The 14,986-nt window shown below is 40.4% G+C and overlaps 1 protein-coding gene across 14 annotated transcripts in view, besides 2 other annotated features; it reads left to right on the forward strand.

The window, feature by feature from the left end:
- NSMCE2 (NSE2 SUMO ligase component of SMC5/6 complex) overlaps nt 1-14,986 on the forward strand; it is a 275,261-nt gene that overhangs the window by 179,272 nt on the left and 81,003 nt on the right. The window lies entirely within an intron of this gene.
- Nucleotides 5,776-6,070: a silencer, noted in NCBI's record as "tiled region #6874; HepG2 Repressive non-DNase unmatched - State 13:Ctcf". NCBI's record gives its function as "represses a minimal TATA promoter and a strong SV40 promoter by Sharpr-MPRA in HepG2 cells {active_cell/tissue: HepG2}" and the evidence as "EXISTENCE:reporter gene assay evidence [ECO:0000049][PMID:27701403]".
- Nucleotides 14,082-14,251: an enhancer, noted in NCBI's record as "active region_27908". NCBI's record gives its function as "activates an Ori minimal core promoter by ATAC-STARR-seq in GM12878 lymphoblastoid cells {active_cell/tissue: GM12878}" and the evidence as "EXISTENCE:reporter gene assay evidence [ECO:0000049][PMID:35858748]".

The raw sequence follows: 14,986 nt of genomic DNA on the forward strand, positions 1-14,986 counted from the left end.
GCACCTATAATCCCAGCTACTCAGGAGGCTAAGGCAGGAGAATTGCTTGAACCTGGGAGGTGGAGGTTGCAGTGAGCAGAGATTATGCCATTGCACTGCAGACTGGGCGACCAAGTGAGACTCCATCTCAAAAAAAAAAAAAAAGTATTACTCTAGTGATGAGGTAAGTAGTGAGGGGGGTCTAAGTTAAGATACTATCAAAGTGGACATAAAGGGGAGGAATTAAATTTGAGAGAAACAATTAAATTTGAAAGATATTTGGAATGTTGTGGTAATCACTTGAATGGAAGAGATAGGTGGAAATAAGAGACAGAGTAGAGTCAAGGATAAGTTTCGGCTTAAATACCTAGGTATTAAGGGTACATAGGACTGATGTCAGCCTTTGGTTATCTTGGACATGAAGGATTACAATAGCTGAGTCATCAAAGGCTGATTCAGTCCCTGACATGACTCCTAGCTGTTCATCTTTGAAACCAGTAATGAAATGGCTTTTGGCCCCTTAAAACTGAGACCTTTGGAAGAGTGCTGAATAGGTATGAATCAGGTTTCATAGGCAGGAGCTCCTGGGGTTTCAACATCAGCGTTCTGGAGGATGCATGCTTGATTTTATTGCTTTTGATACTGTTTTTCACTCATGCTTTTTAATGACTCTGTAATCATGTGTATGTTTTATGTTTCACCTTGAGAATGGCTGTTATACTTAGCACTTTATATCTTCAAAGAATTCAGCAATATTAAATAATCTGCATAATATCTCTGTGAGTTTATAGGTGGGGATTATTGCTCCGTTTTTCAGGTGGGAAAACCCAGAGATATTCGGTGACTTGGCCAAGGCTATTTAGCCTTACATTGACAACTGAATATTGAATCTGCAGTTTCTTTCTTTTTTTTTTTTTTTTTGAGACGGAGTCTCGCTCTGTCACCTGGGCTGGAGTGCAATGGCGCTATCTCAGCTCACTGCAAGCTCCGCCTCCCGGGTTCACGCCATTCTCCTGCCTCAGCCTCCCGAGTAGCTGGGACTACAGGCGCCCACCATCATGCCTGTCGAATTTTTTTGTATTTTTAGTAGAGACGGGGTTTCATTGTGTTAGCCAGGATGGTCTCGATCTCCTGACCTCATGATCCGCCCGCCTCAGCCTCCCAAAGTGCTGGGATTACAGGCTTGAGCCACCGCGCCCGGCAAATCTGCAGTTTCTTCATTTTATCACACTTACACTAGAAGTTTAATGTCCATCTTATTATGTCACGTTTGCTTTTTCACTTACTTATTCAAAAATCTCAGCATTTAGATCTAGAAAAGGACATACAAGATACAGAAAAGAGTGGAGGTGACCAAATGACTAACCCGGCACATGGGGACAGGAGGAGTGTAATGTCACTAGTTCTAAACTAAAAGATTGTTTCTTTTCCAGTGGTGCTATGACATCATTTCCGCTAACAGACCAGTCAGTCATTGTGTTACATAGCATCCTGTGACATTGTAGTATAACCTTAACACTTTATACTGCCACAATAAAACAGTTATAGAAATTGCCTTATTATGTATATATATATCCCAGCTACTTGGGATATATATATATATATAATATATATATATACACACACACACATATATATACACACGTATATATATATACACACACACGTATATATATACACATGTGTATATATATACACACACGTATATATATACACATATATATACACACGTATATACACACACACATATATATACACACGTATACGTGTGTGTATATATATATAAAAGGCTGTGTAATACGGTGGAAAGAGAACTGACTTGGGAGCTAGGCCAGGGTTGAAACCCCTCCCAAGAGGGAGCTGGGTGACACGGGGCAGGATCCTGATTCTGCAGCAGTGTGGAAAGGATTAGATCTTGATGTATGTCAGCCGCCTATCATAGAACCTGACAGTTACTGCTTCATAAATGGTTGCTGTTACTTTTATTCTCATTCAGAGACAAAGTATAATACTGAAAAGGCCAGTGACTTCCTTGTTGAAAGTCAGGACCAGGTAAATTCAACTGTTGAGGTGTTACAGCCTATTAAAGACGCCAGTGAGACATTTTGGTATTGAGTCAACCAGATACTGATACCATCCCTTGTTCACTGACAAATATGGGAAGGTAATTTCAGTAGGTCAGCCATCAGTGTGTGCCTTCCAAAACATTATAGTCATGTTACAGTAAACTTTTTATATTTGTTGCATCACAAAGATTTATTGAAGTGATAAAAGTTATTATGGAAAACAGTGTGCGGTAACTATGGTAACAGTTATTTGATCTCACAGTAATTAGCTAAGCATTTAGTTGCACAATACTTTCACAATGCCTTCCTGGTTAGTTCATTAAACAAAATTAGCTTTTGTTTGAACTGCCTTCCTACAGCGTCCTAAATTTGATTTTAGTTCAAAGGAATTGGAAAATGTATTTTAAAACTACCTTTCCAACTTACAGTTTATGGACATATTTGAGGTTGCAACTGGCTTTTATTTAATTCTTTATTTATACTACACTATGATAACGATTCACTGGATTATCATCTGAATTTCTCTTGGAAATGACCTAAGAAATGAACAGTAAAGTTGGAGACCAGTGCCTTAATTATGGCCCTGTTCCTCACTCATATTGCAGATTGGGGTCAACAGGTGTCCTTCTTAAGACTTTGTTTTTATACCTGTGAGTTTGGGGTGCTGTATAAATGTTAGAGTCCCAGGATCACACAAGTGGAGTCATTTCTTGATCATCTGCATACCTCCTGCTGGGACCTGGAGCTAGCAGGTGCCCAGGCTTTTTCTAAAGCCTCCCTCCTCCAGGTGCCTCCTCTGCCCTGCTCAGCATAGCTTGTGCTGTGTTTAGCACCTCTTTTTGCAAGGTGGAATGTGCTGCAGATGATTCACCTAAATGATGATGTCATCCTCAGAGGACTTCAGAGCTCTTGAGACAAGGGCCTCTCAGACTGTTTCTACTCTGCACCCACTCTCCACTCACTCCCAGCAGACAGGGAAGCTTAACCCGTACTGCTTGGCAGATTGGAGATCCCAAGCACAAAAGAAAGCTTCAAGCATTCAAGATTTTGAAACTGAAAAATACAGAAAATGAAACAAAAAAAAACTTTTTAACTTATTTACTAAACATGAAGGGGTTCCAAAGTAAATTAGTGAAACAGGATTTTTTAAAATCCAATCAATGTTCCTTGTATTAATTTCATTTTAATTCCTGTCACCTCAGTGATTTTTTTTTAGTTCATTTAATTATTTTTAAAATAATACTAGCTTTTAAAAATGAATTGCTTTCTGAGTTGTGAGTCAAGCTCTTCTCTCAGTTAACTCCATGTCACCTACCAGTTTTCAGTTAGACAAGTTTTTTTGCATATGGTCCATAACATTTCCAGTTCTATGCATTTTTATTTGCCTATTTAGGTCATTATTTTCTAGGTAGGAGAGATGCATCTTCAGTTTCACTGACAAGGAATAGAATTCTAGTAAGTAACTATTTGTGGCCAGGCACGGTGGCTCATGCTGGTAATCCCAGCACTTTGGGAGGCCAAGGCAGGCAGATGACCTGAGGTCAGCAGTTCGAGACCAGCCTGGCCAACATGACGAAACCCCATCTCTACTAAAAATACAAAAATTAGCCAGGCATGGTGGCGCACGCCTGTAATCCCAGCTACTTGGGAGGCTGAGGCAGGAGAATTGCTTGAACCTGGGAGGCGGAGGTTGCAGTGAGCCAAGATCGCGCCATTGCACTCCAGCCTGGGCTTCAGAGGGAGACTCAGTCTCAAAAAAAAAAAAAAAAAGAACCTATTTGTTCTTGAGTAGTCTTGCAATTTTTCAGGACAATCTGAAGATGATAATAATAATAATAATAATAATAATAATAATAATAAATAGAATAATATCCTAGGTGGCTTCAGCACCTGACTTCTTTTTCCCCCATCTTCCCTATCCCTGCTTTTATCTGGTATGATAGTCATGTGTCAGCTGATATCAAGGCCCCTAAAACTCTTCACACCCCCCTTCCATATCCTTTTCCTGTCCATAGGAGAATGTCTTTCTCTCACTCCATTTGGAAAACATTTGATGTCCTTTGATGCAACTCTCATTTCAGCTTCTGTGAAACTTTCTGAATTTCCCTCACACTTCATCCCGTCTTCTAGCCCTCTCATGTCATTTGTACCTAATTCTTAGCCACACATCATTATTCATTATAATTTGTGGTTAAAAACTATCTTGCCGAGTGGGCTATGAACTCCACTAGAGAAGTGCCACTCTTTATTCTTCCCTGTACCCTCCCATGGTATCCAGCAGGTAAGAACGTGCCCTGTGGATAGCCAACCAAACCACTGAGTTCTCTTCCTCTTACTGCCCTCTAACTTCCTGAATTCTACTCATTTGTATTTCCTCGTTGGCTGCCCAGCCCAGCCACACTGGATAATCACCCTCCCAACTCTCCCAATTTTGATTCCTTTTCTCTAGACCTAATGTTTTATGTAGGGGCCTCTAGCCACTTCAGGGAAAGAGGAAACGAAGTACTATTTATTGAGTCACCTAATGTGTTTTCGATGCCGTATGAGGTGTTTTGCTGATTTCCACAATCCTATGAATAAATACTAATATCCAGATTTTTTTTTGTCATGAGAGGCTAAGGTTCAGAATGATTAAGTGACATAATGAGCTAGTAATTGTAAGAGCTGGAATTCAAACCCAGAACGCTCCGCCTGCAAAACCCAAGTGTCTTCACTTTTTCCAGTCCAATAACTCTGTTATGTCTTTAGCCCGACCTAAATTCCAGCCTTAGCCAATGTCTTAGAGTAGTCACTGGCACCCTATATTCCTTTGATCTCATGGCCTTCTGTGCCATCAGTCAGCCAGAGGTCTGCCCCCCGCACTGGGTCTTCTGTCCTGCTGTAGTGCTCAAGATGTCTGCCAAAGAAATTCAGAGATTCTTCCAGAAGTGGCTTTTTACAAAGACAGGATACTCAATTACATTTAGACAAAGAATGCCCAGTCCACCACTCACATAGCACCCCAGCCCCTGTACTGCCCAGGGCCAGCATTGACAATCATGAGTACATTCTCAATATAGCCTTCCAGGAAGCCCTTAGCCAATCAAACAGAATGGAAACCATAGATTAAATCTGTTTCCCACTCTGATTTGCTTCCAACTTGCTGTTGCTGTGTAGTTTTCCTGCCCTTCTTTGTTGGTCTTACCATGCATTCTTCCCACCCTAAAACCCCTCTTCCTTACTCCAGACTAACTGGAGGACTGATTGTATTTTACTTTGCTTACTGATACCTTTTGCTTTGCTTTTTCTCACACTAATTTTTCTACTTGGCCTACCTTCCTCCTATCACTGATTGTAGAATAATTAATAATGGAATAGCCTCATTTGAGTATAAACTTCATAAAGGCAGACGCATATGGTTATTATATCTGATTGTATATACAGTCCCTCATAGAGTGTCTGACTTATGGTAGAACCTCCATGAACCTTTGAATAAAGAAGGAAGGAGAAAGGGAAGGAATGGTGGATTTGGCACAGGTATTATACTATATACAGATGTATTTTTGTTTGTTTCATCCTAATAACCCAATGAAGTTAGTGTTATTCCTGTTACAGACAAGCAAATGGAATCTCATAGAGGTCACTCTGCTAGTAAGTGGAAGAGCTTCCTGTTTTTCACTGACCTGCCAAATGCCATCTCTTCTGGAAAGCCTTTTATTATTCCCCCACCTTGACCACTGCATTGCACAACTGTGGGGGACACCATTCACATAGATGACAGTGTGAATGGCTCCCCCTGGAGTTGTGTGGTTGGTGGCCTTGGTAATAACTTGTTCACTGGTGTTCTGATGGCGCATGAGATCTTTCTTACAGCAGTGTTCATACTCTGCCTTGTATCCTGTACTCAAGTCCTATTTCCTCTACTAGGTTATGAATTCCTTGAAGGAAGGAAAAGTGCTTTCTTCATCTTTGTGTCCTCTGCCAGTAACACACAAAGGGATTGTTGAATGGTCAGATATCCTATCTGCTGGTTTACTGAGTTTGAGGCTCTGTGACATGGGTTTATCAACCATCCTTTTCCTCACCTAGGCTTCCCTCCCCCTGTGCTCACCCTGCATCATTCTTGCTAGCTCCTGAGAAAGGTATCTCCTCCTCAAGTCACCTCTCTGAAGTCAAGGCCATGATATTCATTAGGCACTAGAGGCACAATGACTAAATAATATGGTACTTTTCAGGACCTAAACAATTTTAGAGATCTCAAAAGAAAATGGCTTTAAAACACAAAAAGGCACAGGATTGAATATAAGTGTTTGCACAAAGGTAAAACCAAATAATTTGTCATCTTCTTCTTCTTCTTTTTTTTTTTTTCGAGATGAAGTCTCGCTTTGTCGCCCAGGCTGGAGTGCAGTGGCGCGATCTCAGCTCACTGCAAGCTCCGCCTCCCAGGTTCACGCCATTCTCCTGCCTCAGCCTCCCGAGTAGCTGGGACTACAGGCACCCGCCACCACACCTGGCTAATTTTTGGTATTTTGTATTTTTTAGTAGCGACGGGGTTTCACTGTGTTAGCCAGGATGGTCTCGATCTCCTGACCTTGTGATCCACCTGCCTCGGCCTCCCAGAGTGCTGGGATTACAGGCGTGAGCCACTGCGCCCAGCCTGTCATCTTCTTTAAATGTTAAATTTAGCAGTCATTACTGAGAAATCATAGAAAACTGTAAATTAAATGAATAACCAGCTACCAAATAATTTTTTTAAAAAGATGCAAAAATTCTTTCAAAAATGTTTTGGGCAGAAAGTTATTTTTAATTGGGTATAAATACAACTTTTAATATGTTAGATATGGTATCAGTGGGAGAGCCTCCAGAAAACGAACATACTTGGGATCCTTAAAATAAACTGTCTGGGTCCAAAATGCTGTGCACATAGCCCGTGAAATATTTGCTGGATTTTAATTGATTATAGTTAAATGATGATGGTCTTTTTTGTTGTGGAAGGAAGGAAGCATGGGTATTTTACATTATTATTTTGTTTTGTTTTCTTTTATTTATAAAAAGAAAAAGGAGTTAAGGGAATTTTCCCAGCTTAGGTGGAATGAGTGCCACATTCCTGCGGAGATATTGAGCAATCTTTGGGGCCCTTGAATGGCACCAGTAAGGCCCTTCAGAGCACTCTGTCCTGGCCCTGCTCTTAGGTTTGCTTGCCACGCTGTCTGGTTCCTTCAGAATGTAGGAAGTTGGGGGTGGCACAGAAGCCCCAAGGGCAGTATGCTAGTGCAGAGGAAGCGAAGGCAAGCCATTGCCAGGTGCTGCCAGCAGAGCAGAGCGTGTGCTTTCGTGAGGCATGAGGGAACTGACCTTTCCACTTGCCCTTCACACTCAGGGTGACTCAAAGTGCTGACCTATTGTTTTAGGTACTGATTATACAGCGAACATGTTGATGATATGGTAGAGGTGTTTCCTCAGCAATGAGTGTTGAATGTTTAAAGTCAAGTAGATTTTTGGTATGCTTTTGCTTTGGTCAAGAGGGTCTTCTTTTTTCTTTCTTTTTGTCTTTTGGATATTGTTTTGGTTTTCATTCTGTAGTATAAATTGCAGTCCCAGAAGCTGAAATTCACTTCCACCTGTTCAAAAATTGCTGTAGACTTTAGTGCTTTTACTAACTATGCATAATATTGATATGCCCTTGCTGCTGAAATTTTATATCTAAGATTATCTTCCTATTATCTAGCCAGGATTCAACTCAAACCGAGAACCAGGATGGGATTGGAATTAAGGCACATTCAGCTGGAGGTTAGAGCCATAGTCAAATGTGAAAATATAAAGCATATTAAATATTTTGTGTTTGTATAATCATTATATTAGATCAGCTATAACCACCACGAGGGGAAGTTTTTTAAATAAGTGGATTTATGTTATCTGCCATCTCCAAAAGTTTAGAGTTGCCAGTTAAATACATATATATTTTTCAAAGGAAATCATCAAAAAGGACATTCCACTCTTATTACAAAGCTATGTCGGATAAATATTTTGATAGATGTGGTTCCGTGCACCTGGGAGCTGAGACGTGGCTGAGCCTGGAGCAGTTAGCACAGATGGAGCACTGAGATATAGCAAGGGTTGGGTTTTTTCTTATATATATTGCAAATGGTTGATTGAGATAGCATGAACATTACATTTTCCATGCCACTCAGAAAAGTAGCTTCCTTATGAGAAATGATCTTCTTATTTAAGAATGATAATGATAATGACCATACTAAGACTTTTCTCACAAGTAAATGTATAATGGGGTATGTTACAATATGAGCGTTTTGTTAAATAAGAGTACTAATTAGAAGCAATTCAGTAGACTGGGGTAAGTAAGGTCAAGTCTGCTTAACTTTGTGTCGGATATAATGTAAGTGTTTGGGGCTAGGATATTTACTGGTCCTAAGTGGCAAAATGCGAAAGATAGAAATGCATTAAGATAGAAAGGTTGCTACTTTGATTTTTCTCTTTTTTGAATCCGAGTTGAATCATAACTTATAATTTATTAAAATAATCAAGTGTGTCATCTTGATTATTAGGAAATAAGCATCCATATTTAAAATGTTGACTGTTCATACTTGCCTATCTCCTTAGTGGATGGATTGCTTGTTAAGTGACATTATAAAATCATAACACTTTTTCCCCCTTTGAGCCTTAAGTTTGCCCTTAAGAAGGTGGCATTATTTTCATTCCTTTGTTATTAGCAGAGGAATGACTTAGTAACCCCAGCGCAGTCATCTATCCTCTCTATCAATGAGTAAGAAATAGTGTGAACCACGTAACAATGTGCATGTTTTTTATTTGTCATTTTTTGTTTTCCTTTTGGACTATAAATTCCTCGAGGGCAGGGACCATCTTTATGTTCTCATCTAGTGGTTATCAACCAAATGTTGGAGGACTCACTGCCAAGAAAGTGATGATTTTCTTTAACACCCCAAAAGCTGTCAGTAAACAAATGGAAAAGATGATTTTTTAAAGCTGCCTTTATTAACATAAGCAAGAACGTGGATAATATGAGCTAGTTAGAAGAGTTACAACTCCCTCTTCCCTGCCTTTGCTGGAAGTTGGTTCATTGTAAACTTAGTCTTGTGTTTATAACTAGAGAGAAACAGACCCAAATACATCCTCAGAGAGAGATTCCATAAATTCAGCAACTGAATTTGATTTTCCAGAGTGTTTCTAAACTAATGAAATGTCCTTTCTAAAACATTTACCTAAAATGTTCTATGGTTGCAACATCTGCTAAGCCTATTACATTCTTTTATTAAACAGTTTTACTGTCCTCTGTGCAAACTGCTTATTTGAAGCAATAAAGCTGAGTTGACTCTGGACTTTCTAACAAACAGGATTGTTTTTTAACAGTGAGAAAAACTACATATTCACTATCATCATACTTAGTTTTGAAACCATCTGTTCAGAAATGATCCTATTAATTTAAAAAAGAAAGTATTTGAAGTCCAGCTGATTATAATAAAAGTGATACTGATTCTAGCAATGCTTTTGACCTCTCATACACCTTTAGTTCTTTTGTTTGGGTCCCAGACAGGAGAAAGCCTTTAAATGTCTATAGATTCTTTAAGACATAGGAGTCAATAACGATTCACTGACTAATGGAGGAAATATTTTTATCACATAAGATTCAAAGTTTGGTAAGGGAAATCTCATTATAAACTGGTGTAGTTAATCTGTAACTATATTTGGATTGAATAAACATGTTAGTAATTTCTCAAATGCATACTTGCCTCCCTGCCTGCTGCCCTACAAACCTACAGTCTTCCTGAATGGTAGCACAGCTGCACAGACCACAGAGGTTTTCAGGAAGAAAACTCTGCCTGCCTATCCAGAATGGGTCGGTGAATGCAGATGTCACCTTTTCTTTTTTGTCTACAACTTTTGTGACAGTTATAAGCCGATTAAGATAGCTTTAAAGCGTTCAGACTTTGCCACTGACTGTCTTTCTTCCTTAAAACACATGAGAAAGTTATAGCTAGCTCTTTTCCCAACTGTGCAGAACACTGCAAACAACAGCATGGGTTATTCATCTTGAAGCCCATTAAAAGGATGTTGGCCCAATTTGTAATTTTTGTGGTAGTGCTTTAATATTGGAGACATTCTAGTTTTGGAGACAAAATCAATTTGAGATGGATCTGTCAGTTTACTTTGTCAACTGAGGCAAAGATAAAAGTTCAGTCACTAAATGACTAAAATTTCAACACATTATACAGCAAGGTTGCCAGAGGAGATCACTGGGTGTATCGAGAGGGTGATTTTTTTTTTCTAGAGAGGGTCTTGCTCTGTTGCCCAGGTTGGAGTGCAGTGGCACAATCTCGGCTCACTGCAGCCTCCACCTCCCGGGTTCAACCGATTCTCTTGCCTCAGCCTCCTGAGTAGCTGTAATTACAGGAGTGCGCCATCACACCCAGCTGATTTTTGTATTTTTAGTAGAGCAGGTATTTTGCCATGTTGGCCAAGCTGGTCTCGAACTCCTGGCCTCAAGCAATCTTACCCGCCTCAGCCTCCCAAAGTGCTGGGATTACAGACATGAGCCACCGTGCACGGCCGTAACTTTTTTTTTTTTTTTAAGGAGATGGGGTCTTGCTATGTTGCCCAGGCTGTTGTCAAACTCCTGGCCTCAAGCAATCCTCCCACTTCTGCCTCCCAAAGTGCTGGATCACAGGCATGAGCAACCACAACTGGCTAAGTGGGTGATTTAAGAATCTTAGAAGGCTCCAATATACTTCCTAATCTCCCTCCATGCTCTGTCTAGCTCGTAGCTTGCAAACTCTAACTCCTGCAGGGGCCAGGGAGGGAAGGAAATGGATAAAACTGGTCCCATTGAAATTGGTGAGCTAGAGAGCAAATACCCTGTGTAGTGTTGCATCTTCCAGTTTTTCTAGAGAAATCGGATGTTTGGATTTTTTAATGTCATCCCTTAATTTTTTTTTTTTCTTTGAGAGGGAGTCTCACTCTGTAACCCAGGCTGGAGTGCAGTGGCATGATCTTGGCTCATTGCAACCTCCCCCACCCAGGTTTAAGCGATTCTCCTGCCTCAACCTCCCAAGTAGCTGGGATTACAGGCGCATGCCACTACACCCAGCAAATTTTTGTATTTTTAGTAGAGCCGGGGTTTCACCATGTTGGCCAGGCTCGTCTCGAACTCCTGACCTCAAGTGATCTGCCCACCTTGGCCTCCCAAAATGCTGAGATTATAGGTGTGAGCCACTGCACCCGGCAAGATCCCTTAATTTTTAAATATTAGCTATTGATTGAAATTTGAAATGCAACGTTTAGCTAAACAAAACCTATTTGCAGGCTACATATGGTTGATGCATCGCATATTTACCTCTGCTCCACTTACTCCTTCGATTTAAGAGTTAGAACTTGTCCTTTTGGCTTGGGGCTTTTGTCTTTTAATTTTCAAACGGCTGTAACCTGGAGAAAGGCTGTACTTCAGACTGTGTCAATGAAGAGTTGGTAATTTCCACTGAGTTCAATTCAGGACAGTTACTCCCCGTTGTCTGTGTATAATATACTGTGCTTGGGCACCAGTAATAATGCTACACAGCTTATCCCTTCAAAGTATCTGTTGACTGTGCAAGAGCAGTGTTCCCTGACACCAGTGACCTGTGTTATACACAATGCCATGTGTAACACAGTGTACAGCCCTACTGGGCAGTTCTGGACTCCACTTGAAAATATTTTTACCGAAATTATGGATGGAAACTATGAGAATCGTTCTGATGAGGGCATCTATGCTAATTGTAGGAAGGTAGTCTAGCATAATTGTTGAAAGAGCAAGTCATAAAGCCAAACTGCCTGGATTAGAATCTTAATTGTGCTTCTTGACAGCTGTGTGACCTTGGGTATATTATGTAACCTCTCTGTGGTTTCATTTTTCACATCAGTAAGTGGAAAGAGTAATAATATCTACATCATAGAGTTATGACAATGATTAAATATGACAACCTTCTATATAAAGCTCTTAGCACAAGGTCTGATATATAGTAAATGCAAAGTAATTATTAGCCACTTCTGCTGCTATTGTTTTTAATTAAGAAAACACTGAACTTAGAATCAGGAGATCTGGGGCTAGGCATGGTGGCTCATGCCTGTAATCCCAGCACTTTGGGAGGCTTAAGTGGGTGATCACTTGAGTCCAGGAGTTCAAAACCACCATGGTCAACATGACGAAACCCCGCATATACAAAAATTAGCTGCTCATGGTGACCTGCACCTGCAGTCCCAGCTACTTGGGAGGCTGAGGTGGGAAGTGGAGGTTTCAGTGAGCCAAGATCATGCCACTGCACACCAGTCTGGGCAAGTGAGACCTTGTGTCAAAAAAATTAAAAAAGAATCAAGAGATCTTGGTTTGGGCACCCATTTTGCCTCTTAGTGTCTCTAACCAACTGGAAACTGCTTAATTAACCTCTGTGAATATCAATAAGATCAGGATAACATGAAGATGAAATGCAATTATGTATCAAGACACATAAAGCAATGCACAAATGAAAGGTATTGTTTGGTAGCGGGGAGGGCTGTCCAGCTGGGGAGGGGGCAGTGCCCTCATGACACAGCACAGTCAACATGTAGACCCTAGAGGAACCCAGGGCCCATTTTGCCTCTTTGTTTCAACTCAGGCATTTGATCCACAGCAAGCATTGGACTATTACTGGCTTTAGAATGACTCAAGTAGGCCGGGCGCAGTGGCTCACGCCTGTAATCCCAGCATTTTGGGAGGCCAAGGTGGGCAGATCACAAGGTCAGGAGATGGAGACCATCCTGGCTAACATGGTGAAACCCCGTCTCTACTAAAAATACAAAAAAATTAGCTGGGCGTGGTGGCGGGCGCCTGTAGTCTCAGCTACTTGGGAGGCTTAGGCAGGAGAATGGCGTGAACCTGGGAAGCAGAGCTTGCAGTGAGCTGAGATCACACCACTGCACTCCAGCCTGGGCAACAGAGCGAGACTCCGGAAAAAGAAAAAAAAAAAAAGAATGACTCAAGTAAACATTTAGAGAGTAAAAAAAAAAAAGAAAAAAAATTTTAAGTTCTGCCACTTTGTTAAAAAAAATACCCCTGAAAGACAGAGTATGTCTTCGACTCTCACAAGTCCTTTATTAGACTTGCTTTGGAAGAGTTCCAAACTGTGGCTGAGAGGATGGCATACTGAGGCACAGCTAAGGCTGCCATCCACTTCAGAGAAGGAGGGATTCTAGCGGAGTCACATGGGGGTTTGAGACTGACCAACCCATTGGTCTTTGTTTCAGAAATGAGGAAACAGAACCAGAGAGGTTCTATCCTTATCGAGGATTGTTCAACTGCTGACCTTTCCCCTACCCTAAGATACTTAGACTCAGCTGTATTCAGGATTTTCAGTTCTTTCTCTGATTTCTCACATTTTCAAAGATATGCCATTCAGATTTGTTTAGGTATTTTTAAATCACTTGGAAGAAAATGACATAGTGGATCTGAGAGCACTTACAGCATTTCTGCACCATGTTCAGTACTTGAATCTGAATCTAAAGAGAGGGCTTTATTGGATCACTATTCTGGGATAATATTGAAATAACAACTAATAACAATAACAACAATTTTTGTTTTGTGAAAAAATAATACAACCAAATGAAAATAGATTAATCAAAACAGTGAAAACCCTGTCCCCTTTTCTGAGCTTATGAAAAGAGAACCTAATTAGTAGGCATTCTTTTTATAGCTAATGTGCTAATTGCCTCAGAGATAACACCTGTGTAATTTATTTTTAAAAATCTTACGAAAATCTACATTTTAGTGAGATTCTAGGAAAGAATAGCAACAGCTGGGCCCACATCTGTTTGAATGATGCGGCATGAAAAGGATTCTAAATATAGTCTGAATTAGAGGCAAATGTACTTTCATGCTGTAGTACAAAGTATCAGTTGAACTAGATCTGAAGGAGCTTATCATTAAAATAACCTAAAACTAAAATGGCACAGTTTGCTTTGGAAAGCAACAAATATTTACCTTAAGCAGTCTTTGTTAGCAAACTTGAAATATAACTGGTCCATTCCCACTTGCCAGATGGAGAGAAAGATTATACCAGAGCTTAGGAGAATAAAAATAAGTCACATCGACACAAGAAAGTGACTTTTTACAAGAAGTTTTCATCACATTCAGTGGCTTGGGGTGCCTTGTTTCTATTTTTCTTAGTTCTTGAATTTTATAGAGCCTGAGTTAGCAGCTCTCAACAGCTCTGCCTTCCTCCCTCCTCCCCTCCCTCCCTTCCTTCTTTTAACAAATACTTACATGCCCATTCTGTGCTGGGTATTTTTTGTATATACCCAGATAAGAATAGGGTAGCCATAGTTTCTGCTCTAATAGGGTTTTGAAGACTGACATAACAGATGTTTTACTTTAAACATGTACATTTAGGTAACACTGTACCTATAAAGCTCTTAGTGTCTGGCACATAGTAAGTATCAATAAATAACAGCAACATGTGAAGACAGTACAAGAATCTGTGAAACCTGTAATAGCAGACCCAATATAATAGCTAGCATTTATTGAGCACCTACAGTATGCTAAGAATTCTTCATACACACGCACACACACACACACACACACACAAAGCTATACACACAGTTGTATTTAATCGTTACAGCATTCCAAGGGTACATCATATTACCCCAGTTTACAGATGAGGTAACTGAAGCTTGGTGAGGTTGAGTTGTCCAAGGTCACATGTATGTCTCAGTGACTGTGCCAGGATTTGAATTCAGGTTTGACCTGACCAAAACTTGAGCCCTTGGCCATTAGGATGTACCTTGGAATCCCATTTTTACAGCCTCCATTGCCACACACTACCCCCGAGAACAGTCCACTAGCAGCACTTGTTTCCCTACCCTCCAGTGCCTGGGAGAGTTAATTTGCACACCACTGTCAATACCTTACCTTCAGGGCCCCT

The sequence above is a fragment of the Homo sapiens genome, chromosome 8 (assembly GCF_000001405.40).
Source record: "Homo sapiens chromosome 8, GRCh38.p14 Primary Assembly".
Lineage (NCBI taxonomy): Eukaryota > Metazoa > Chordata > Mammalia > Primates > Hominidae > Homo > Homo sapiens.